Consider the following 25344-nt stretch of genomic DNA (forward strand, 5'->3'; position numbering starts at 1 on the left):
GGCAGTGTGGGATCTGCCCACACCTCTCAGAGAGAGGAACTGAGGTGGTTGTTCTGAGAGGCAGTGAGCAGGGAGACCCTGAAGCCAAAGGCTGGCAGGATCCAGCAGGGCAGAGGCCAGCAGGGGAATTCAGGGAAGAGCCTCAGGGCTGACAATGGGGACACCTGACTACAGTCAAGGGGATTCAAAGCACAGCCTGGAACCTGGAGGAATCCCCTGGAACATGGACACAGAAATGTGGACAGCTGAAGCCATGACCTTGACCACAGGTAGGGAGCTTGCAGTTAGGGACAGGAGCCAACTTTACTTAGACATAACTCAAATTCATGTCATTTCTGAAGGAAATGAAATTTCCTTCATTTTCACCTGGTTGGAATTTATTGCTCTCTCCTTAATGGTGCATAGCACCTTGTTTATTTATGCTTTGAGTAATTGTAATATGCCTTGTTTTATAGTATTTTTATACATTTCTACTTCAACTCTTGATTATAAATTTGTTAAGGCAGGGAATATCTATCTATCTATCTATCTATCTATCTATCTATCTTATCTATCTATCATCTACACACACTAATGGTATTTTAGCTATAGCATACATAAATACATAGGTACATTTTGTTGAATTGAAATTAATTGAATTAATCCCATCCTCTTTCAGAATAGAAATTATGTTTTCTGGGAGCTAGAAACTATTGTGAGAGATGTTAGTATTGTTGAAATTTAAAAGGGGCTGTCCAGTTCAGTTGTGGCCTGGTGTGTACTGAATGACATCCAAATTCTAAGTAAGTGGAATTGCTATCAGATCTGAGATAAATTAACCATGCTCATGAGAAGATGTAGAGTGAGGAATTCCTTCCACAAATGCTCTGCTTATCTGATTATTGGTTAGCCAGTGATTTCCTGTCATCCACAAAAAAAGATGAAATAGTAAGAGAAAAGTAAATACTAGGTGAAGTGCTTTGAGCCAAAGGGAGTCCATCTAAGAAGTGATGGATGGCTCTGTTGGGATTCCGGCAGTAGTGCATGATGATGTTGGTGTATAAATACGTCAGCTCCTTTAACCCTTGGGGGACCCTGAGGCATGTGTTTTTCATGGGCCCCTAGCGTGCTCATGCAGGATTAAGTTTCAGTTGCCTACTGTGGTAATTGGCTTGAGAAGCCTATCTTTATTAATTTTCTTCTCTTCCTTGTCTTATTTCTCTTCTTCCCTACCTGTGTTCTCTTCATTCCCTTCCTCCCTACAAAATAAACTATGTGAGTTTGAATTCTTCTTTCAGGATTCAAGTTTACTCCTGGGGAACCAAATTAAGACTAAAGAATATGTATTCTCTTTCTTCTCATTTGGCGTTGAGACATTTTAAAGCCTCAACAATTTTCCCTATATAAGCAGTTCCAATTATTTGTGCCTCACTTATAAAAAGTAGGTAATGAGAAAATTAAGGCTTGCAGACAAATCTTACACAATTGCAGCAGAATATCTCAGAAATGTGCTCAATTCTCGGGCTTTCTGTTTGGTCTCTTTAAGCAGGCAACCTCAAAGAGGTGATTCTAGCTTTTGTGATTATGTGTGATTTTGTTATTTTACAGCCTACTGCTGTGGAACTCTATTGAGAAAAGACACTGATAAAGCTAATAAAATATACATCTGCTACAAAGAAAATTTTATCTCAAAAATGCTATTTCCTCTTCAGCTCTGAATGTTGACAGATTTTTTTTCCTAACGGGGTTCAGTAGGTTGGCTGGAAAGCCAAGATCAAATACCAACGGGAGGTGTGAAGACTGGCCAGCCTATGTTCAACGAGTTCACCATCCAGCTGCTAAGTTCTCCATGCTGATAAGACAAACACTCTCTGAATCGGATACGGGCCTACTGGTATCTTTAGGACCATCTGCAGCACAGCTAGGTAAAGTAGGCACAATTTTTAAGTTAGGTTTTGCAGAAGGTCCCATGAAACAGGGTTTCCTTGTCAAAATACAGTGAGACATAATAACAGAGCCATGTTTGGAGGTCCCTTCATTGACAATGGGTTATGCCTTCAGCTTTCAGGCTGATCCTGCTGAGAAGCATATGTGATTAGCCCCAAGAAGCTCTTTACTGCCCCCTAGATCCCTGTCAAATCTAGGAGATCTTGAGCTGTACTTCCCCTGGGCCCGGGGGACGTGTGAAATGCTTGTGTTGTATCTTCATTAGTGGAAATTTTTGATCAATTATCCTGGATGATCCATGTCATGGAACATTGAGCTGCGTATCCTTTCATTTCCATCATTCAGGGTGATATTCAAAATATAGGATAGGCATTTTTAACCCCAAAGTATATTGAGAAGTAAAATTAATGTTGGAGATTAGTACATTACACACCTCATCAAGCAGGAAGAGACAAGAAAGCATATAAATGCGACACAATTCTGGGGCAACTCCTGTCTTCAAAACTTATTTGCTTCAGCTATAGCCGCTGAGGCCTTACTCCTTTTCCTGCCTGTCTTGAAAGATTGTTCTATGCGGCCACCCAGATTTCTTGGGATCTGATGCTAGACCTTGGAGGAAGTCAGGTAAAGCTTTCTAGCTCTGCCTCAGTTGGACCATGTCTCTCCCCTGTCTCTGGTTTCTTGGGCTACTTTGATTTCACTTTCTGTGTTATGGAAACCTCTGGCAGTAACTGTTCCCTGTGTGCCTTACACTTCAATTGAGATGCACAATTGCCAAAGCTCTCTCTGATACCACCAGGGAGCAGCGAACTTAATTCTTCTGTCTTTGATCTCTCTCTTGTTTTGCTGTTTCTCCCCTGACAAGAGGCTGAGCTGCTTTGGGGGCCACCAAGGGCCATTCTCTCCACTTTGTCCTTCACTATATCACATCCCCATATGTCTTCCTATAGTCACCTGCTGGCGTGATTCCATTTTGTTTGTTGAATTTGACTAAAGGTGTCTTGAGCTTAGGAGTCATATCAGCCTGCCCACAAAAGTGTCCCATTTCACTGGGCAAATCAACTAGAATGTTGTTGTATTTACTCTGTGGACTTAGGAAGGGATCCTCTGGGAATTAGCCCCATGGGGTTTCTGTCACCTCCCATTCTACTTTGGCTTAGACAAGGTATCTGAGTTCAGAACCTGACTCTGTTCCTGCGCTCAGCTTTACAGACAAGTGGTATTATTTTTAGCCTGCAGACCTTTTAGTTAACACCCTGCTGCATTGAGGGTGTGAGAGAGAAGTGCTTTGGAAATCAGACTCTGTTACTGATAGCTTGTCCTAAACTGAAAAGGCGACAGGAGAAAGGATGCTTTGTGTTCAAGCAGAAGAAATCTCCGATGCTGCAGCTGCTGCTGCAGCCTTCCCCTGTGTTTCTCACCTTGCTGCGGCCTGCTGTTTGGCAGGACGACTTGACTGGCTGCGCTGTGGTTTCTGCGCCTGTGATGGCTCCTTCTGAATGCCCTCTGAGCCCTGGGGGTCTTATCAGCTGGCTGCGGCGGGGGTGGGAGATGAACAGCTCCCTTGTCAAGCCCGCTTTCTCCTTCTCCTGGGAACCCCTGCCGGGTCACCAGCCTAAACCCCCTCTAGCACCCCATGGCCTCTTGCTTGGGGTGTCAGAGTCAGAGAGAGTAAGGAGGTGTTGGGAGATGAAGTTCAGAGGGTAAAATGATACCGCAGGAGGAACCAGGCTTATGCGAGCTTTATAGTCGGCTGAAAAAGAGAATGTGGTAAAGATCAGGTGGCCCGTTTCAAAATGGCTGGAACTTTTACTTAATACTTTACAAGGTGCGCCCCTGCCCCAAAGTATAGGTGGAAATAAACCTCTGCTTTAAAATCTCAACAGAAAAATCAGATCAAAGAAATCTGGTGAAATACCTTTGATTAAATGTAACACACAATTGATCTCAATTCCATAGCTGATTATTAATTTTTAATTAGGAGTAAGATACAGGCACCATGATGTGTAGATTTTGTTGTCTAAGAAAGAAGATGAATAGAAGATAATATGTTTTAACTTTTTTTTTCCACCAAGTTTTAAAGTTCTAAGACTGCTGGCAATTTTCAATGAATATATGGGGTCTCCATCACTGGCCATTTTATGGGCAAAACAGCAAAACACAAATAGGTTTAATGCTGAGCTCCCAGCCCTTATCTTTGCTTCTCCCCCTCCATTTCCACCAGTCAGGTGTCTAGAAAAGAAGGGCATCCTGGTTGGGAGGAATTGGTTGTGGGGAGGATTTGGCCATGATCAGAGTAGGTACTGCTTCAGACCGAGCTGGGGCATTTTAAAACTGAGGCAGAAGAAGCCATACTTTAGGGGTCCGGGGAAAGAAAGTAGGACTAGGATGGCTCCACAATTCCTCTGCTGATCCTCTCAGAGACTTAGCTTTGCTTAGAAGCATTCCCTGGTAACCAGCATCTATTGCTGTCTTTACTTAGCATTTAAATGCCCCCAGTCTGGCAATGTCAGTTATCTCAGAGCCAAGACAGAATAATTTTGTGGTAGAAATCAAAGAATTTTCAGTGTAACATCTAGGGCAGGATTTGTGCCTCTTTTGCAGTGGATGGCCTTTTCCCCTCTTGACAGAATTCTGTTAGAGCCTCACATTGTTGAGATATCCCCCTCATCTCCATTCTACAGAGTGTTAATGCTGCTGGAAGACTGTCTGTTAAAATCAGATTCCCATCAGGCTTTGAATGCTCCCTACCAAATGGCGTAGCTGCCTTTGATCTGTAGTCTCACTTAAGGAAGCTTTTCAAGTGCATGGAAAATGTCTTGACCCCAGTGTTTGGACCTGTCACTGCTTGCACACCAAATCAAGGTATCATCAAGCTGAAAACGTACACCTAGAGGAATTCCTGCTATTTAATGGGCTCAGCCATTCCTGCTGTATTGATGGCAGTCTCAGCTCAGCTCTCCCTCTGGGGGCTCCGAAGACCCTAGAGTTATGTTCCTCCCAGCAGCAAACCTCTGAGGCTTGGTGTGGCTCAAAGACAGAGTCAGAGCTGCTTTGTCATCTGTGATTCTGTGGGTTGGAGGAGTAGTCAGAAGTAGGTCACATCTGAAGAAAAATTCTCTGCTTGTGATCTTGAGTACAACTGAAGGAAACTGACCCCTTTGAATTCATGAAGTAGGATGCAAGGTTCATATTATCTATGAGGACTGTAAAAATGGCTCCACTGACCTTGAGCTTATTCGCTCACAATGCATGCCAGTTAGATATGGGTATTTAGCATGCTGTATTTTAGGAATATTACATCAAATGTGGAAATACGGAGGCACATGGTAAACTGTCACGTACTATACAAATGATCATTGTGATGACATTTTCTTAAAATGGGTTATATGAAGTATAAAGAATTGAGAGGCTGACTATTGCCAGCAATTAGTTTAGTATAGCCTTGTTTATTAATCTATGGCCAGATGTGGTACCTTAGAGCCTATAGATCTTACTGTGCACACCCATGACCTTCAGATGTTCGTCGGGAGACACAACATAGAGCCTGGTCTTGGTGCTTGAGGAATCTGGGATGTCATACCTGACTCTTTGATGCATTATTTGGATACCTTAATCTCTCCAAATTTCCTTGTTTATAAAATGAAGATGTAAATGCCTCAATTGCCTCATGTGGTGGTTATGAAAGCTAAAATAAAAATGCACAGATGGTTTTGAATGTGCTTTGGGTCAGTGAAGTGTTATAAAGTGTAAGGTGTTATGATGATCATAGATGTAACTTGGGATGTATGCTTTGTCCATGGATGGTTTCTTATCTGAAAGGAAAAGCTGATGAAAGCTAGGTCGACGAATAATGTGTGATGAGTATATGTGTGCATATGCACACGTGGACATGTAGGTGCACATGTCCATGTCAGGGTACATAGTGTTACAAAGGGGAGACGAGGTGTGTACTGATCATTTTCACATTTGCACTCTGCCCCGTTCACTGATCTTCCCCTAATCGGCCCTGTATCTCCAGGAGTTCCACTGCATAGGCCTCTGCCTAGGGCCTGCTTCTTCTCTCACCCCTGGTGGCTGGCTGGGTCCTGTTGGGTGGCTCCAGCCTCAGAGGCTACAGCAGTTTCCTGATGTTGTTTATCTATAGATGGTCTCTCTTCTGTTTGGTGTCTGAGCTCTTCCATCTTATGGGCAACGGATTCTCCATATTAAATTCCTTCTGTTTGAAATACTTAGAGCTGGCCAGGCATGGTGGCTCACGCTGGTAATCTCAGCATTTGGGGAGGCTGAGGGAGGCAGATCACCTGAGGTCAGGAGTTCAAGACCAGCCTGGCCAACATGGAGAAACCTGTCTTTACTAAAAATACAAAAATTAGTCAGGCATGGTGGTGCGTGCCTGTAATCCCAGCTATTCGGGAGGCTGAGGCAGGAGAATCACTTGAACCCGGGAGGCGGAGGTTGCAGTGAGCGGAGATCATACCACTGTACTCCAGCCTGGGTGACAGAGTGAGACTCCGTCTCAAAAACAAAGCAAAACAAAACAAAACAGAAATACTTAGAGCTGATTCTGCTTTCCTGACTGGCCCCTGACTGATTCCAGATGCTTACTTTGTAGATGGATACTAGATTAAGACATGCATAGTACAATTTGTAGAGAAGAAAGATAATGTAGAATCTAACTTTATACTGTTTATAAGAGATATGTCTAAAAAATGTGATTCAAAATGGTTTAAAATTAAAAATTAGGCAAATATATAAAAAATGAAGAGAAAAAAGCAAAAATCAAGGTAATAAAATGTTAAAGCAATGAAGATCACTTTTATTTATTTTAAATAACTATCATAAATATTTATGTATTGAATGACAGCATCAGAATATATAAATAAATAATTTTTAAATGTAAAAAAAAAAATTTAGAAGCTATATATTAAGAGACCTTACTGTAATTTTCCTAACTTTTGATAGACCAAGTAGCCAAGTAGGAGGAACAATCTCAACAATAAAATAATAATTTATTGACCTGAAAAAACATTTAGTAGCATTGATTGGCTCAAAACTATCTATATGGGGGGTTTGCCTGGGAACTCCATTTGCATAGCAAACACTCAGTTTTTATTCATGTTGAGTTATATTATTGGGAGGAGCTGAAGGAGATTACTGTTGGGGCTAATGTCCCCATCCCCTACCTCTTGGTAACAAAACTGACCCTCAAGAGTCACTCCTTGTGTGGTGGTTTTTTGTTTTGTTTTGTTTTTTGTTTTGTTTTGTTTTTTGTTTTTTTGAGAGGGGTTTCACTATGTTGCCCAGGATGGTCTCAAACTCCTAGGCTCAAGTGATCCTCCTGCCTCAGCCTCCCAAAATTCTGGAATTATAGGTGTGAGCCACCTAGCCGGGCCCGGTGTACTTTCTTCCCCATTCATCTAGAAAAGTAAGAAGGCATATTGTTGATGAGGTAATTAAAATAAATTAATTAGCACAACAATAAGAAAATAAGTAATGTGATAAAAGCAGTCTGCAAAGGCATAATTAAAAAAATTTTTTTCCCATAGGTTATTGGGAAACAGGTGGTGTTTGGTTACATGAGTAAGTTCTTTAGTGGTGATTTGTGAGATTTTGGTGCACCCATCACCTGAGCAGTACACAGTGCATGCTATTTGTAGTCTTCTGTCTCTCATCCCCTTCCCACCCTTTCCCCCGTGTCCCCAAAGTCCATTGTGTCATTCTTATGCCTTTGCATCCTCATAGCTTAGCTCCCACTTAGGAGTGAGAATATACCATGTTTGGTTTCCCATTCCTGAATTACTTCACTTAGAGTAATAGTCTCCAGTCTCATCCAGGTCCCTGCAAATGCCATTAATTCATTCCTTTTTATGGCTGAGTAGTATTCCATTGTATATATATACCACAGTTTCTTTATCCACTCGTTGATTGATGGGCATTTGGGTTGGTTCCATGTTTTTCCTATTGTGAATTGTGCTGCTATAAACATGCATGTGCAAGTATCTTTTTCGTATAATGACTTCTTTTCCTCTGAGTGGACACCCAGTAGTGGGATTGCTGGATCAAATGGTAGTTCTACTTTTAGTTCTTTAAGGAATCTCCACACTGTTTTCCATAGTGGTTGTACTAGTTTACATTCCCACCAGCAGTATAGAAGTGTTCCCTGTTCACCGCATCCACACCAACATCTACTATATTTTTTTATTTTTGGATTATGGCCATTCTGCAAGGGCGAAAATTTAAAAGAACACACAAGAACCTGAATTTGAAAGAGTAAATGGTGGTGAGGCACCTTTGAAGGGAGAGTGCTCTGAGGAGCAGGACTGAAGAGCTTGGTGTTGAGAATGGCATGCAGAGCTGACATTAGGTTCAATCAGGTTGTTTCTCTTCCCCTGGAATGGCAGCCTTTGGGAAATAACCCCAAGAGCACAAAATCTCTCTCTCTCTCTCTCTCTCTCTGTCTCTCTCTCTCTCTCTCTCTCTCTCTGCCTCCCTCTTTCTCTCTTTCTTTTGGGGGCTGAGGCCCTTGAAGACCCTTTGCAATTCCATAAATAGTCAGAGACATCCCTCAAATACTACACCATGTTCCTCTGCATGGGAAAAGTGTGGTCACGCATACACGTAACTCCATTCCCTCCCCTCCTTTCCTCCTTGCAATGGAAGGAGCAGGAAGTGGACAAGAAAACAGAACAGTATTAGAGAAACAGAATGTACCTAAATGGGGAAGACTGGGCTGAATTTGAGGAGGCTGAGTTTTACTTCCAAACCCACCCAATTCACTACTGCTGTATCTCTTGACAAAATAAGTAGACATAGTCTGTGGCCAATTTTCTTCTAACTTCATCTCAGAACTCCTCTCTCCTCTCTATGCATATCTGCCCTCCGCAAGCCTCAGACCTCATGATGAACGAGGAAGGTAAAGCATCTGGAAAAGTTTCCTATGAAGAGCTGCTGAAAAAGCCTGAGATGTTGTTTAGTGTAGAAAAGACTCAACTTTGCATTTCCCACAAAGTGTTTCATGGAACACCCTTTGTCTTAGTCTGTTCCAGCTGCTGTCACAAAATAACACAGACAGTGTGGCTTATGAACAACAGAAATTTATTTCTCACAGTACTGAAAGCTGAGAAGTCCAAAATCAAGGAGCTGGTGTGTTGGGTGTCTGGTGAGGGCCTGGCTTCCTGGTTTATACATGGTTTCTTCTTGCTGTGTCCTCACATGGTGGAAGGGGCAAGGCAGCTCTCAGGGGCTTCTTTTATAAGGGCTCTAATCTCATTCACAAGGGATCTGCCCTTGGGATCTAATCACCCCCAAAAGGTCCCACCTCCTAAAATCATATTATTGATAACTAGATTTCAACATGTGAATTTTGGGTCAACCAAAGCTATAGCACTACTCACAAGAAATGTTAATGGGTGTTCTTAAACAAGGCAGAAGGGTTCCATGGACAAAATAAATTTGGAAAAGGATGAAATAAATATAAAGCAAGTTTCTTAACTTCTTCACTTTTCATAGCTTTTGACAGATTGTTGTGATTCTCCAGTAAGGACTACAGAATGTAGCATTTCCCAAACATATTTGACCAATGAACTACCATCCCAGGTGTACCTATTAATGTCTCTTAGGGGACTAGTGGGAGGTTGCACTGTTTGATTTTAAAGAACGCTTGCAAAACCAGACACCATGACTTCAAGTTGCCCTTATTAGTTAGACCTGTCTTCTGAGGTCCAAAATTGACCTCCTTCTTCCTTTCTCTGAAATTCATATAATTATATGATTAAACAAATTTCTACTAAGACAAATTTGGTATAATCCTCTAGCTCTTCATTTGTTATTCATTGTTTTAAAAGTTTCTTATTTGAAATAAACAGTTAGATAATTATAATGGGAGATCATCTTTTTTGAGGGCTTTTCTGTATGCTCTTTCTAGTATAAGTCACCTCTTTCTCTTTTACTGTTCCTTGGCAAGCAAAAACACAAGTTTAGGAACAAGCCAGAGTTATCAAAAGTTCTACAGGAGTGAGGAAAAAAAGAGCAAGAGGAACGCAGGAGAGGCAACTCACTTGATGACATGGCAGAAGCATCCAAGCTGCTGAATTGTTTTCAAAAGATGGCAGGCAGGGCCCACAGTGAAAGCATCCCATCTGGTTGTCCAATCCACCATGAAAGGGGTCGAGAGTGGTAAGGATTAGAGTAGAGGAGATTCCCAGGAGCTATTGCTGGTGATGGAGGGATGTGGAGACTTTCCATTGTTTATGTACATTAGAGAAGATTGACTTGAAATTTCATAAATATATATCTTATCTTATATTCCTTAATGTACATAATGGAGAAAAAAACCCAAGAGAGCACTCCAAGAGGAGTTGAGTTTGGATCAAATCCTATCCTAAGCATTATCCTATTTTGGAGTTGAGATACCTACATTTTAGAAATATTTTTAATCCAGAATAGGTCACATGCTAAATATTCTGGGTAAATGGTGTTTATTTGTTCATTGTTTTTTTTCTTGGCATGTGGAAGAGAAATCATCTTGAATCAATTGTGTTCATTGGCCAAACAGTATGATAATTTGTTAAATTTTACTGATTAATGATGCAGAGTCTTGACTTTCATTGTAAGTAAACTCAGGACACAAAAAGCACTAAGAGATGCCCAAAGTGGTTTTCTATAATTTAAATGGAAATAAATTTGTATCGAAAGTACACTAGATTTCACATTTCACATCCTTTTAGTTTTAGATTTAAAAAAAGAGCGATACTTTCTGACTTCTCAGCTAAGATTTTTATAGTGGTAGTGGTTGTTGATATTTGGTGTGTAAAACCTCTTTATGCTGCTTTAGCTATATATTTTTTAAGCTGACTTTACTATCAAAAGCACTTGAAATTTAAAAATTATGTCCATGATTAAAAACTTGCAGAAGTTGCCCAGCAACTATTTTCATTCCCCAGAGGCAGAGAGTATAATGGAAAGGAGGAATTTGGGGTGAGATGTCTTTCTTGTGTTTAAATTTTCTACTCTGAACTTGGACAAGTCACTTATCTTCCTAAATCCCAATTCCTCATGTATTTAAAAAAAAAAAAAAGAGGATGTCACAATCATACTGCCTATTTTCCAGGATTATTGTGAGTATCCAGTGAGGAAAATATATAAAAGACTCTTATAACCTTCAGATTTCTTACACATACATATAATTGTTTTTAACACATTTCTGATCTTTGTTCATATGTATATATGGTTTCAATCACAGGACCCTATACACATTTGTGTTCCACTTTTCATATCTAATGTTATAGTTGTGCCATAATTTACTAGCCCTTTCCCTATTGATGGACATTTAAATGGTTTACAGTTGTTCCCTATTATAATAGTGCAGTAATAAACATCTTTGTACATTCAGGCTTTTGTCTTTCTCTCTTTATTATTTTTTTTTTTTTTTGGCCAATTTCTCTGGGACTAGTTCCAGAAGGGAGGTTGTGGAGTCAAAGTGAATGACCATTTTTTTAACTAACCTGTCTTTTGAGCTTTTCACTTCATCCAAATATCTTTCCCTTGGTAACTTTCCTAGAAAGTCACAGAGCACTCAAATGCCTTCTTGAAGTCAGCCAGAAAGATTCAGAATCTACATTTGGTGGCCATATTTCCATTTTCAGGCTCTTTCAGAACCACTGGCCTGTGAGGCCTCCCCTAGACTGCAAGGCCCTTCAGGACAAGATTGTGCCTTAATCATGTTGGCATCCTAGCATGGCCTGGCTTGTCACAAGAACTCGGTAAGTGATTAATCAATGGAGCTAAACAGAGCAGATGCCTAATACATGATAGGCTCCTTATGGTCACCTGACTTGCCAAAGCATTCATTCATCAAAGAGTTTTTAACAATGTCAGGCACTGGTGCTAGAAACTGGAGACAGAGAGGCAAATGTGACACAGGTGGCCTCATCAGCCTAGCAAGCAGAGCCCCCCTGGCAGTGGAAGAGCTTAGTCTTGAATCTGAGAATTCCTTGAGAAGGGGTCCAAGAGTGGAGTTGACCTTGGCCCATGTAATGTGATTGCAGGGAAGGCCCTTGCTATGCCTAAATATTTTAATCATCTACCCCTTAATATCAGTCATTCTGTAACACAGATCTTGTTACAGAGATGGAGGTGACAGAAGGGGCCTCTGCAATGTTATTTGACAACCATATCCTGTGTCAAAGAACCTCAAGCTCTGTTGTCTGAGCCAGGATGTGAGAACAGAGTTCCTTGACCCAGCAGGGTTAGGGAGGGTTTCCAAATCCCCTCTGGAGCAGAAAATCCCTGTTTGATCCTATCCAGCATCATAAGGCCACCTGCTGTGGGCATGAATGCTGGGGAGGGTGGGGTCTCTGGCCAACTCAGGAAAGATCTGATTCTGGGCTTTTCACTTGTGTATAAATGAATGTGTCTAAACATTATATGCTTTCCATTTGCCTATTGCTGGAAAATTTGATAAAGGGTGCAGAAATTGAGCAAATAGTTCTGCAAGGGGATGTAGAAAGTTTTCCTTGGCCTCAGACTCTGGGCTGTCTTGCAACTAGTTCCTTGGAAGTCTGTGTAATTTACTTAAGGCTGGATGAAAACCAATCCTAGGTTTTCCATGATGCCTCTGGTAGTGCTGGCTTAGCTTGAACTCTGTGGGCAGAGATTGTCAAAGAGGCAGCTCTGCTCTAAATTTCTTGTTATTGTTCTCTGTGGAAACTCACAGAGAACACTGACAAGTTTCTGAGACCCTAGGTTGTTTTATGTTGAACACTGCACTGTTGAGTAAAGACTTGGAGTTCTCTTTATGAGTTAGAATGTTGTGGCTTTCCTTTTATAATGCTCTGTAAAGAGCTCTCCAAATTTGGCTAAAAATTTATACACTTTATGGCTATCCATTGTGGTACAACCATATGTTCAGTTTAGAACAAATAAACACACTTGAACTTATAAACAGATGAAACTCAGTTTGGTAATATTTATAATTTGTTTTAATTTGACCAGAAAAGTATTATGTGCCCAAGCCTGTCACTTAGTCAATGGTCATCGCTGGGACTGAGCACTGTTTCTGGGTGTCAGATAGAAACATTAATGATTTGCGAGTTTCAAATGTCCCCAGGGAGACGGCTCTAGCACTGTTGTGTTGCATGGGATATTGGAGGCAATTTCATATGTGCACATATAGTTAGAGGTTTGCGAGGTGTTTATTTTTTGGCTACCTGTAGATGGTTTCATTATCCCAAATTTGTATTGATGAGCAAATTCAAACTTTTTCATTTCAGTTCCTATTTCAAAAGCGCCTGTGTCTGTTTTTTCTTTGCCTCTGTTAACTGGCTCTGAGGTAGGCATCCTAATGCCTGTTTCCCCTGAGCCAAGATCACATCTTGTGTTTCAGCTGCAAGCTAATAGCCTGTCAGGAGTATGGAAATATATATCTGAGGTTTGTGATTCTGCATGGGATCAGGATTTCCAGGAGTGCCTGTTGGAGAACACTCTGCTCTGTGCTTCTCATGTCTTAATGTTGGTTCTTAATGTTAATTCAAACCAGCTGTGGCAGACCCAGTTGTTCCTAGAAGTTGCTATCTCTGTCTTTCACATTCTGCAATTTTATATGCACATACATTCTATGAAACTTCATGAAATTTCTATGATATTTGTGTTTCGGAGAATGCTCCTTATAACTCTGATTTCATGCAAAAAGTTACTGCCACATAAATGGGGAGGTGATATCAATTATGCAGTACTGGATTCAAACATCAACTCTGTTACTTACTAGTTGGGTGAGCCTGGAAAAATCTCTTAACTTTTATGTCCTTCGCTTTCTTGATCTGCAAAATGAAGATGCAAATGATCTTGGTTTGGAGTCTTCTAGTGGTCTACAGTATATGGATGCAACACTTTTAGGGTCTGCTCCAGTTACAGTACCAGGTTATAAGGATTGTACCATCTTGTTTTAAAAATGATATGAAGTTAAACTCTGAAGCACTTAGAACAGGTCTAGCACATAATAAACTTTTCGTATGTATTAGTTACTACGATTACCATAAAAATCTCAAGAAAATATTAATTCTCTGCTTCGGATATTGGACAGAACTCTAATTAAATCTGATATATGCCTACCGTGGGAAGCTCACTTTTTTTCTGCATTGCTAGAGCAATAAATACAATCAAATGTTAAAAAAATCATCAACCAACCAACCAATCAACAAAAAAACCAATCCAGATTCTAAAGCAGGAGAATGGCAATCATATTCACCACTAACACAAATTTCACAAAACACAAGCTTATATCAAAGAGTCAATTCAAACTTCCAATTTAATACTCTCCCTTCAGGAAGTGCTCATTACTCTTACAGCCTTCAAAAGACAGAAACTCCCCACCTGACCATGGTCTTTGTCAATGTTTTTGGAAGCTAAATGAAATAAATATGTTTTAGAATGAAATAGGGGGTGACAAATATCCCCCTCTGCAATTTTTCATTGATTCCTACCAATTGCAGCATCTTGGATTAAGAAGCATTCCTTCTATTTGTCCTGACATCTGGAGAACAGGCCACAGATTTTCTCAGGCCTCCATCCTGGAGTTTAACAGCTATCACTATATGGAAATCCTTCTTAGAGATAATCTCCACTGATGCGATTTACAACAGTTTTCTTCTTAGCCACTCTTCCATGCTCATCCTTTGAATGACAGCCATGTATGGACTTGAACCTCACAGTCCTCTGTCGCACAGGGAAGAATGCCAGTGATCTTGAATAAGACTCAGTTTTTGTGTTGCTGGAAGAAGGAACAGTATCTGGGTATCTGAGGTTGGTTTTGTTTCCTTTATTTTCTCAACATCTTTGAGCTTTGTTTGAAATGCAAAACCTAATTTTAAAAATTCTGCTGTTGGATATATCATTTGAAATGTAGAAATACTCTGAAAAAATAAACATAATTGAAATAGCTTTCAACTATTAATAATTTTAAAAATACATGGTTTCCTTTGTCTCCTCTATGGTTTTGAAATTTAACAATGGGATATTTGTCATCATTCTGCAGGTTGAGTTTTTCAGTCCAGCGTAGAGTGATTGTTTCTGTTTTTATTTTATTTCTAAATTTTTATGCCTGCAGTGGATGTGCGTGAGCTATGGCCTTGGGGCCTAAACAGCTCTGGGTCTCATGGAGAGCGAAATGAGTGCATTTCATGCTTTCGCTTTCCACAATGTTTATTCTGTTAAAGTAAACTCAACTTATGGATGTATCATTGGTTGTAATTATACCATTCACATAAAAGGTAAATAATTTCAAGTAAAATTAGAATGGTATTTTTGTAAATCCTTGTACTTTCCTCACTGACTTTCAAATTTTCCTCTTTCCTAATTTCATCCTAATTTTCTCCAGGCCCAAGGACATTAAAGGCATCCATCAACTTTTCCGGAATCAGGTTTCTCTGGATACCGTTTCTGATTTGGAGGCTTGCAGCCATTTTTTTCCAAGCATAAAAATGGCTTCAACTTTCCATAGTAAGGGAAATCTCAGTAAGGGAAATCATATACCCCTAAGTATATGCATTTTAATTTTCCATGTCTTGTCACTGTTATGATAAAAAAGAACAACAGAGTTTGAAAACTTTCAGTGATTGTAATTTTCTAGTTAGAAGTTTATTTTGTTACATGGTTCTTTCTTTGAATCTCAGCTGTCTTTTGTAATTAGAGTATTCATCATAACATGCATCAACTATTTATATTTTCTCAATAAATAGTCCTTAGCAACCAATTTTGTGCCTTGGTCTCTTTAAAGACAGTCATACAGGTGTCATACCCACCTTTTCCTCTAGAATATATTATAACCTGAATAAATCCTGGGCCTTATGTCACCAAGTTTCAGGGCAGTGTAACATTCAAAGAAACAACCAAAAGCAAATGAAACTCTAAGTTTTGCTTGCAGTCCTCAGAACGCATTAAAAGAGATTCAATTTACAGATCCTAGCCACATCGTCTAAGGTTCCCCCAACTCCACTTCCTCACTGTCACAGCCCATCTGGAGCCCTTGTTCTCCACTGCCGCCTTCCCACTACTCGCCAACACTGTCCACTTTTCTTTGCCTCTTGTATTCTGTTTTTCTAGTCCTACCTCTTTCTTCGCATTCTCCTGTTTCTGTATCACAGGAACCCAGGAGTCAAGTTGGGGTAGACAAAGAAGAGAAGCTGATCAGGCAAAGACAAAATTATCTTTACTGGGAAGTGGAGGCCTTGAGGGTTCAGAGTGAGGCTGCAAATACTCAGATAGTAATATTTTTTTGTAATATTACTGTCACCAAGGCATTTTTACAAAGAACACCAGGATTTAATGCAGCTATTAAAGTTCTTAGTTTACTTTGTTGAACTTTCCAAAAGAGGCAACCTGTCCACAGTTCTGAAGGCTGTGGCAATGGAGTGTGCCCTCAGAGAAACCTCAGGAGATAAAATCACAGTCTTCTTCTAGAATGATCTTATAACAGCTAGAAGGGCAAAATACACTTTTAAGAGTTGGAGTCTATTCCATCTTATAAGGATGGGGGATTTATTAGGACTCTGTGCCAAGATTTTCCAGAATTTCTCTCTAGGAGTAGCTAAAGGAGGGAGCTGTCTGAGAGGGGATTGCTGGGGACAATGAAACTTGGGTTTGAATAGCACTTCATGTAAGATGGAAAGAACATCATTTCTCACAGCAAAGTATTAGGGGTGGGGATGGGGGTGGGTGATCAAGATCAATGCAGTGTCAAAACCTCAGCCCTCCAATCTACTCCTGGAATTTTTACAGAGTGTGAGATGTTTGCAGACCAGGAGGCTTTCTTGCATTTATGCCTCAGGAAATGGGTCGTTTTATAATTCTTGTGGGGTTCTTTTTGTTGTGTTGTTTTTTGTTTTTAAAAAAATCCCTCTTCCTATACAGAATCACTATTAACAGTGGTATGTGACTTTTCAGACATTGTATGTGCATACATCCCCACACACACCTTTATGTTGTTTTTTATTTATTTGTTTTTATTTTTTAATTTTTTTTTTTTGAGACAAAGTCTTGCTCTGTTGCCCAGGCTGGAGTGTAGTGGTGCCATCTCAGGTCACTGCAACCTCTGCCTCCTGGGTTCCAGCAATTCTCCTGTCTCAGCAACCCAAGTAGCTGGATTACACAGGCAAGCGCCACCACACCCAGCAAATTTTTGTATGTTTTGTAGAGACAGGGTTTTGCCATGTTGGCCAGGCTGATCTTGAACTCATGGTCTCAAGTGATCGGCCCACCTCAGCCTCTGAAAGTGGTGAGATTACAGGCGTGAGCCATTGTGCCTGACCATGTTTTAAACAAAAAAAAAAATTGACGTTATATTTACACTTTAATCTGAAATTTGCTTTTTTCAATTTACAGTTTGTCATGAATATCCATGTCAGAATATTTAAATGTACCATTTTTTTTTTGAGACAGTATCTCACTCTGTTACCCAGGCTGGAGGGCAGTGGTGCAATCTCGGCTCACTGCAACCTCTGCCTCCTGGGTTCAAGCCATTCTCCTGTCTCATCTTCCCGAGTAGCTGGGATTACAGGTGCCTGCCACCACACCTGGCTAATTTTTGGTATTTTTAGTAGAAATGGGGTTTCTCCATGTTGGCCAGGCTGGTATCGAACTCCTGACCTCAGGTGATCCGCCTGCCTTGACCTCCCAAAGTGCTGGGATTAAAGGCACGAGCCACTGCGCCTGGCCTAAATGAACCATATTTTTTTAAACAGTTATTTTATTCCGTTATACCATGATGGAATCTTGTACACAATAATTCCCCTATTGTTCAATATATAGGTTGCTTCCAATTTTGCACTATATATACAATACTGCAGTGAATACCCTGCTATGTATATTTTTGACACACCTGCCTTAGTGTTTCTATACTATTGATTTCTAAACTTGTAGTTTCTAGGTCAAAGAGTGTGCTTTCAAATTTTTAATTGCTGATGCTACAACCCCCCGTCTTCCCCAAAGTTAAAAACCCTTTGTCCCAAAAGTCAGGGGACTTAATCTGGATTCTGTCGCTGTTTAGTTATTCATGTTGGGCAAGCTGCTTCTTCACATCTCTGTGAAATGAGGAAAGTGGAACAGAAGATGACCTCTGTGTTCCAATGTCCCATGAGCCTTTACCTTTACAAATTGATTTGCCCAATTTCAGAGAATTATTTAGGGCTGTTTCAAACCAATATGAAAATCTGCTCTTTAAAAGATTGTTGAGAGCGGAGCTAATTTTTTTTCTGATTAAGCTTTGATTAGTAAACAAATCCATTAACCTCCTATAGGATTATTTTGACATATTCAAGCTGTGACTTTTTCTTTCACAGTTTTTTGAAAGCTGAGAGCCACCACTGAGCAAACTCTCATTTAGGCCAGATTTTGTTTTATTTTGTCCAGTTCGAATCAGTTTGATGGCTGTGTGTTTATGCATGATCTTAAATGTTCCCCAGTACTGGGACAGGGCACATTTGACCTGTTGGCCGATGAACAGATTTGGTTTTAATCAAGTTCCAAGTCAGATAACAGCACTCATGTGATAGTGATCTTTCACTTTAAGGCCATGTTTTGTTCACTGAACCTTGTAAAAATCAAATACATAAATAAAATGAAGAGGTCAGGAAAGATGGTTTGGTTTCTTTCAACCTACTGCTTTTTGAAGGCTCAGGGCCAAAAGAAAAGGAAAGTAGAATGATAGGGATTTTGTTATTTACTATACTTAACTGAATAAGTCTGCAGATGTCTGGAACTATCCTGTATAAAACATCCTATTCACCAGTTCCTAAGAGACCCTCAAAGAGACAATTCGAGTTTAACGCATAAAATATCAAAGTGGGCCAGACGCAGTGGCTCACGCCTATAATCCCAGCACTTTGGGAGGCAGAGGCAGATGGATCACTTGAGGTTAGGAGTTTGAGACCAGCCTGGCCAACATGGTGAAACCCTGTCTCTACTAAAAATACAAAAATTAGCTGTGCATGGTGGTGGGTGCCTGTAACCCGAGCTACTTGGGAGGCTGAGCCAGGAAAATGGCTTGAACCCAAGAGGCAGAGGTTGCAGTGAGCCAAGATTGTGCCACTGCAGTCCAGCCTGGGCAACAGAGTGAGACTCCGTCTCAAAAAAAAAAAAAAAAAAAAAAAGAAAAAGAAAAAAAGAAAAAAATGTCAAAGTGAAGATTTGAAATCTGTTCACAGCAATACAGATATGGTTGAGAATTTTGCATTGATAGGGTACTTTGAGGTCCACTCTGCAAAATATTATTTGTAAATTATTTTGTTTGCTAGTTAGCCAAAGGTGTGAAACCTGGTGTTAAAATTGTGATCTTGGCTTGGTGCGGTGGCTCACGCTTCTAATCCCAATACTTTGGGAGGCCGAGGCAAGTGGATCACCCGAGGTCAGGAGTTTGAGACCAGCCTGGACAACATGACAAAACCCATCTCTACTAAAAACACAAAGTTTGGCTGGGTGTGCTGGCAGGCGCCTGTAATCCCAGCTACTCAGGAGGCTGAGGCAGAAGAATCGCTTGAACCTGGGAGTCGGAGATCGCACCACTGCGCTCCAGACTGAGAGACAGCAAGACTCCATCTCAAAAAAAAAAAAATGGTGATCTCTCTGTGATGTAGGGTCCTGACTAGAGTGACTACTGCACACCACATATAAATTATTCCTACTTATAGTTAAGGTGCCAAAGACTGGTGTTAATTTGATTTTTAAATAAATTGGAATTAATTAAAAATTATCTTAAAGTCACTCGGAAACACTTGCATCCTAAGTGGGAGAGAAAGTGATGGCCATTCTCCTGATAAGTCCTGCCTGCCTCCAGGCCTTTGCTCAAGCTGTTTCCTCTACTAGGAGTGCTGTTCTCACAGCTGGTTCCTATTCTTCCTCCAGTTCTTGGGTTCTGTGCCACCCACTTAGAGAGGCCTCCCTTGAGCACACTACCTAAGGAGAGCCCCTCCCTTTTATTCTTTATCTCAGTCTCTTGTTTCCTTTATAGCCCATGCACATTTAATTTTATTAATTTTCTGCATGTGTTTAGTTTTTAGAATTTTAACAGCTTTATTGAGATATAATTCACACACCATACAGTTTGCACATTTAAAATATACAATTTAATAGTTTTTAGTTTATTCACAGATACATGCAACCATCATCATAATGGTTGGCAATTTTCATCGGGTAAAAAAGAAATCCTGTACCCTTTAGCTATCACCCCATCATACATCCATCACCTCTCCATCCCTAAGCAACCACAAATCTACTTCCTGTCTCTGTAGATTTCCCTTTTCCAGACTTTCATATGAATAAAATCATATACTATGAGGTCTTTTGTATCTGGTTTCTTTAACTTAGCCTCATGTTTTTAATGTTCATCAGTGTTGTAGCATGTATCAGAACTTTATCCCTTTTTATGGCTTAATAATATTTCACCATATGGTTATAGTGTGTTTTGTTTATCCATTTGTCCATTGATGGACATTTGGGTTGTTTATATTTTTTGTCTATTATGAATAATGCTGCTTTAAGAATTTGTGTACAAGTTTTTATGTGAACATGTGTTTTCTTTTCTCTGTATCCTGTATCTAAAAGTGGGCTTGCTGAGTTGCTTATATATATTTTTGGATGTCTCATTTACTACAGTAGAAACTCCATAAGAACAGGGACCACATCTGCCTTGTCACTCTTACTGCCACAGTACCTGGCATTCTACCTTACAAAGTAGGTGATTTGTTAGTAACTTGGTGAACTTTTCGGTAAACTAACATGCATTGCACCTACCAGACATCTGGCATGGTGCTGGATGCCTATATTAGATATGGCCTGAAGGAGTTACTGTGCCAGAAATGTCAGCCCCAGCACCAACATCCTCACACTTACTAAGGGAACTAACCCGGAGACCCACCTGCCTATTTCACACCACATAACTTAGCTCCCACAGCAAGACTTCACCCTTGAGCCATAACAGATTAGCCCAAAGGTGGGCAACCAGCACAAATGTAGCCTATTACAAACTGGTCAGTGTCCTTTGAGGTACAGCAAAAAGCTCTACCCAAACAGGGAATTACCAAGCCTATCATGTCTTGTTTTTAATAATCCTGAACCTAGTAATTTGAATATATAAGAAGTAGGTAAGACTTAGTGGGAGTAGTTTACAGGTCATTGGCGGAGGGAAGCTGGTAGGTCAAGATGATCGTGGAAGTTATACACAACCAGAATGATGAGAAAGCAGGACCCGGAAGATAAAAAATGTACTTATAGAATGAAGACGAGCAGCCAGAGAGAAGGAGTATCTGGGTCAAGGTGATGACAAGCCAATGACAAACTGTATACACTCCTTAGTTCTGAACAACATGAGGCTTTTTCTCTTTCTGAGACCTGGTTGTTTAGCATTTCCTGTATGTCTTTGAAGGCTTGGCCTCATGATTGAAATTTCTGTGTCCTCACTGCCAAGTGTATTTGTACCAACCACTTCATCTCACAAAATCCTGCCCTGTTATTCAAGGTTACTTGAGTTGAGGCTTTTTTCCTTGCAACCAGGAAAGCTGATTTTTAAAATTCGATATTAACTACATTTTACAGAAGATGAAACCAGAGCTCAAGGTCATGTTTTAGTAAAGTGAAGGTTGTGGAATTCAGAACCAGATTTATCTGACTCCAAGGTCCAAGCTTTTTACCCTCTACCATCCACCCAGATGTATTTCCTGACTCATTCAGGAGTTTAACTTTAATTGTGATAGCAATATTCTCCCATCAGCTAAGTGAACCAGCTTGGAAATAAGTGTATTAATGAATTTCTTCACTAAAATTTAAAAATGCCTTTGTATTTATGCATAGCTAACTCCTGAGTTTCCATTATTGATAATAATTAAGAACTGGTTTGTATATGAAAATGTGTTTGTAGCATACATTTGGCTTCATTATCTCCATCAGTTCACATCACTTTGAAATTAAAATCAAATGAGATCATGACACATACCTGTCAGTGACATGCAAATTAAAAATTCTTGGCAACATAGATTAATGATCATTTTTGAGATTTTTCTCTCTTTTATTAATTTTCTCCTCTTGTTTTATTACATCTGGGTACTTATTGAAGGAAGAGACTCTGATAGAGGATATTGTTAGTGGAGAAAAGGAAGCTTGGCAACTTTCGTGAAATGGTGTGCCTTAAAGAGGAAGGAATTTACAGTAAAGCCTCAGGGAGCCCAATGCTTAGGCAACAGTCTACAAGTTGGTGAATATCTCTTTCAGATTGGTGTTGTGCTTTACACGATACTGTATTACAAAGCTGCTAAACAACAAATGGTTTTTCTACAGATAGGGGATCTCTAGGCATCTCAAGGATAGGAATCAATTTTTCAAAGGGACACACACACTCACACACACACACACACACACACTCTCACACATTTTACCCACACATGCATATACTGTATATACACACCCACAATACTTTGTAGAAATGCTGCCAGTATCTCTCTAGACTAAAAGTAGTAAACATTCTCTGCAGTTTTATTTTTGAATTATGTTGCTAACCTTTAAAAATGGGGATATTTCATATAAAAATCCAAGTTGTTGTGGTATTATTGAAAAATTGCAGTTCTGGCAGTACTGGGCCTACATTTCCCTATAGCAATATTTGTCTGAAGCTGAGTGGAGGCTGTTTCTAACAGCCACACAGGCTGTCTAGTTCATCATTGTCCCCATAATTCTCTGTTGTCACATATCCAGCTGGCTGCTTTACCACACATCACGTGCTTGGCTCATGGAGACATTTACTCTCTGATTAGGAACCCAGAGTTCCTGGCCAGGCGAGGTGGCTCATGCCTGTAATCCCAGCACTGTGGGAGGCTGAGGTGGGTGGATCGCCTGAGCTCGGGAGTTCAGAACCAACTTGGGCAACATGGCGAAACCCTGTCTCTACTAAAAACACAAAAAATTAGCTGAGCGTGGTGGCACACACCTGTAGTCCCAGCTACTCGGGAGGCTGAGGCAGGACAATCGCTTGAACCCAGGAGGCAGAGGTTGCAGTGAGCCGAGATCGCACCACTGCACTCCAGCCTGGGCGACAGAGGGAGACTCTGTCAAAAAAAAAAAAAAAAAAAAAAAAAAAGATAGAATCTGAGCGGTTGAAGGTAATCTGTAGCTGTTTGAACATATTTTGAGACATGACTGTCAACCTCAGATGTGTATCAACATTTCCTGTGGAGCTTTCCAAAAATCTACCTTTTATCTCCCACTTCCCAGCTCCCCTTTCAGATTCATTAGGTCTACAGTGGAGTCAGGGAATCTGAATGTTGAAAAAGCTTCCCATTTAGTTCTGATTTTGAGTAAGATGGAGTAAGCACACTTCATCCACGGTCTTCCCCATTGTATGTGGCTATAAAGTCTAGACAAGATGTACGAAACAAGCTATTTGAGGACTCTGAAAAAGTAAATAATAGTAGATAGATTGGAGAAGACCAGAATTTAAGACACCAGTGAACTGATGATGAGTTTCTCTTTTGTCTGTCCAGTATTCTTCCACTTGAACCCAACATAGCCTGCAACCTGGAAGCAGGCATGAATGCAGACAGGAAAGTCCTCTAGTTCTGTTTCGAGGAACTTAACAGTCAGAGAGAGTCTCTGTGTGTATGTTGGGGGAGGAGGGAGAGATTCCTCATTTTTCATTTTGTTTTTTTCCCTTTCTCTTCTTTACTCTCTGTGCCATAGCTCCCAAACAATCCAAGATGGCCAAAAAGAGCCTAAAACTTGGAGGGAGGAAAGCCTTCATTGCCACTTGGAGAAGTGGTGGTCCCAACAGACTAGGGAGAAACACTGTTGCCTCTTTTTTCTTCTGTTTTCCTACTCATTAACCCCATTTCTTTCAAAACGTGGGTAGACTGAGCATGGTGGCTCATGCCTGAAGTCCCAACACTTTGGGAGGCTGATGTGGGAGGATTACTTGAGCCCAGGAGTTCAAGGCCAGCCTAGGCAACAAAGTGAGACCCTGTCTCTGCAAGAAAACTGAAAAAATTAGCCAGGCATGGTGGCAAACACCTGTGATCCCAGCTACTTGGGAGGCTGTGTTGGGAGGATTTCTTGAACACAGGAGGGACAAGGCTGCAGTGAACTGTGTTCATGCCACTGCACTCTAGCCTGGGCAACAGGGCAAGATGCTGTTTCAATATATAAATATATATATATCTTTATAAGTCTGCTTATATATATAAATATATATAATATAATATATAAATATATATTATATATGTAAAATATATATATATTCACTCTGTTCTGCCATATACTCTCCATGTCTGCCCATATATATGAGTGTATATATATAACATATATATATATGACAGCTGTTTCTCAGAAGATGATCAAACAGCTACAGATTACCCACAACAGCTCAGAGTCTACCCCAGCTCATTCTAATATTTTATATAAAATATTAGACATGAACATATATATACATATATACACATGTGTATATATAATACACATGCACACATATATATATATATACACACACACATATATATATATAAATATTAGACATGGAACGTGTATGGCAGAACAGAGTAAATAAAGCCCCAACTTTATTTCTGGTCAGAGAACCAAAAAGAGTCCCAGGGAAGCTGAAAATTATCAGGGATATCAAGAAAGAGGGTGAAGTTAGGGAAAATGACTTTTAAAGTTTTGTAGAAACTCCTGGGCTCACCTCTGATCTGGGCATGAATAGATCTGACCCTCAACAGTATATACAAAACTTGAGAACTAAACTGCACTGCAAAGTCTTTGAAAACTGAAATCATGTTGGGTCAGTTTACCAAAAAGATCCAACGGTCCTAAATGTATATGCTCCTATTAGGATAATTTTAAAGTACATAAGCAAAAATGGACAGAATGGAAAAGAGAAATAGACAAATCCATAATTATAGTTGAAGACATCAACAGTCTTCTGTGAGAAACTGACAGAACAGACAGAAACAGATAGATCTGATGGAAAATCAGTAAGAGAAGGAAGTACTGAACACCATCTATCAGCTAGATTTAATTTACATTTATAGAACCCTCCAACCAACAGCAGAATATACACTTTTTTCAAGTGCATGGAGCATTCACCCAGGTAGACCACATCCTGGGTCATTAAAACAAACAAACTAACTAAATGTAAAAGAACGGAAACCATGCAAAGTATGTTCCCTGACCATAATAGAATTAGACTAAAATTTAATAACAGAGAGATAGCAAGGACATCTCTAAATGCTTGGAAGGTAAACAATATGCTTCTAAATAATCCATCAAAGAAAAAGTTTCAAGGGTTATTGTAGATGTCCTTTATTTGGCTGAAGAAGTTACCTTTTATTCCTAGTTTGAATGGATGTTGAAATTTTGTCAAATGATTCTTTGAACTAAATTAAAGATATT

The 25344-nt window shown here is 40.0% G+C and overlaps 1 protein-coding gene across 3 annotated transcripts in view; it reads left to right on the top strand.

Annotated features, from left to right (window-relative positions):
- PGM5 (phosphoglucomutase 5) overlaps positions 1-25344 on the top strand; it is a 174451-nt gene that overhangs the window by 58659 nt on the left and 90448 nt on the right. Inside the window, exon 7 of one of the 3 annotated variants that reach the window (XM_011518783.4) lies at positions 14418-15676. The exons of the other annotated variants lie outside the window; for them this stretch is intronic. Within the exon in view, the coding sequence (XP_011517085.1) occupies positions 14418-14430 (13 nt within the window). The 3' untranslated portion in view covers positions 14431-15676. Of the gene's footprint in view, positions 1-14417; positions 15677-25344 lie in introns of those variants that run through there. 3 annotated transcript variants of the gene reach the window in all.

The sequence above is a fragment of the Homo sapiens genome, chromosome 9 (assembly GCF_000001405.40).
Source record: "Homo sapiens chromosome 9, GRCh38.p14 Primary Assembly".
In the NCBI taxonomy this organism is placed as follows: domain Eukaryota; kingdom Metazoa; phylum Chordata; class Mammalia; order Primates; family Hominidae; genus Homo; species Homo sapiens.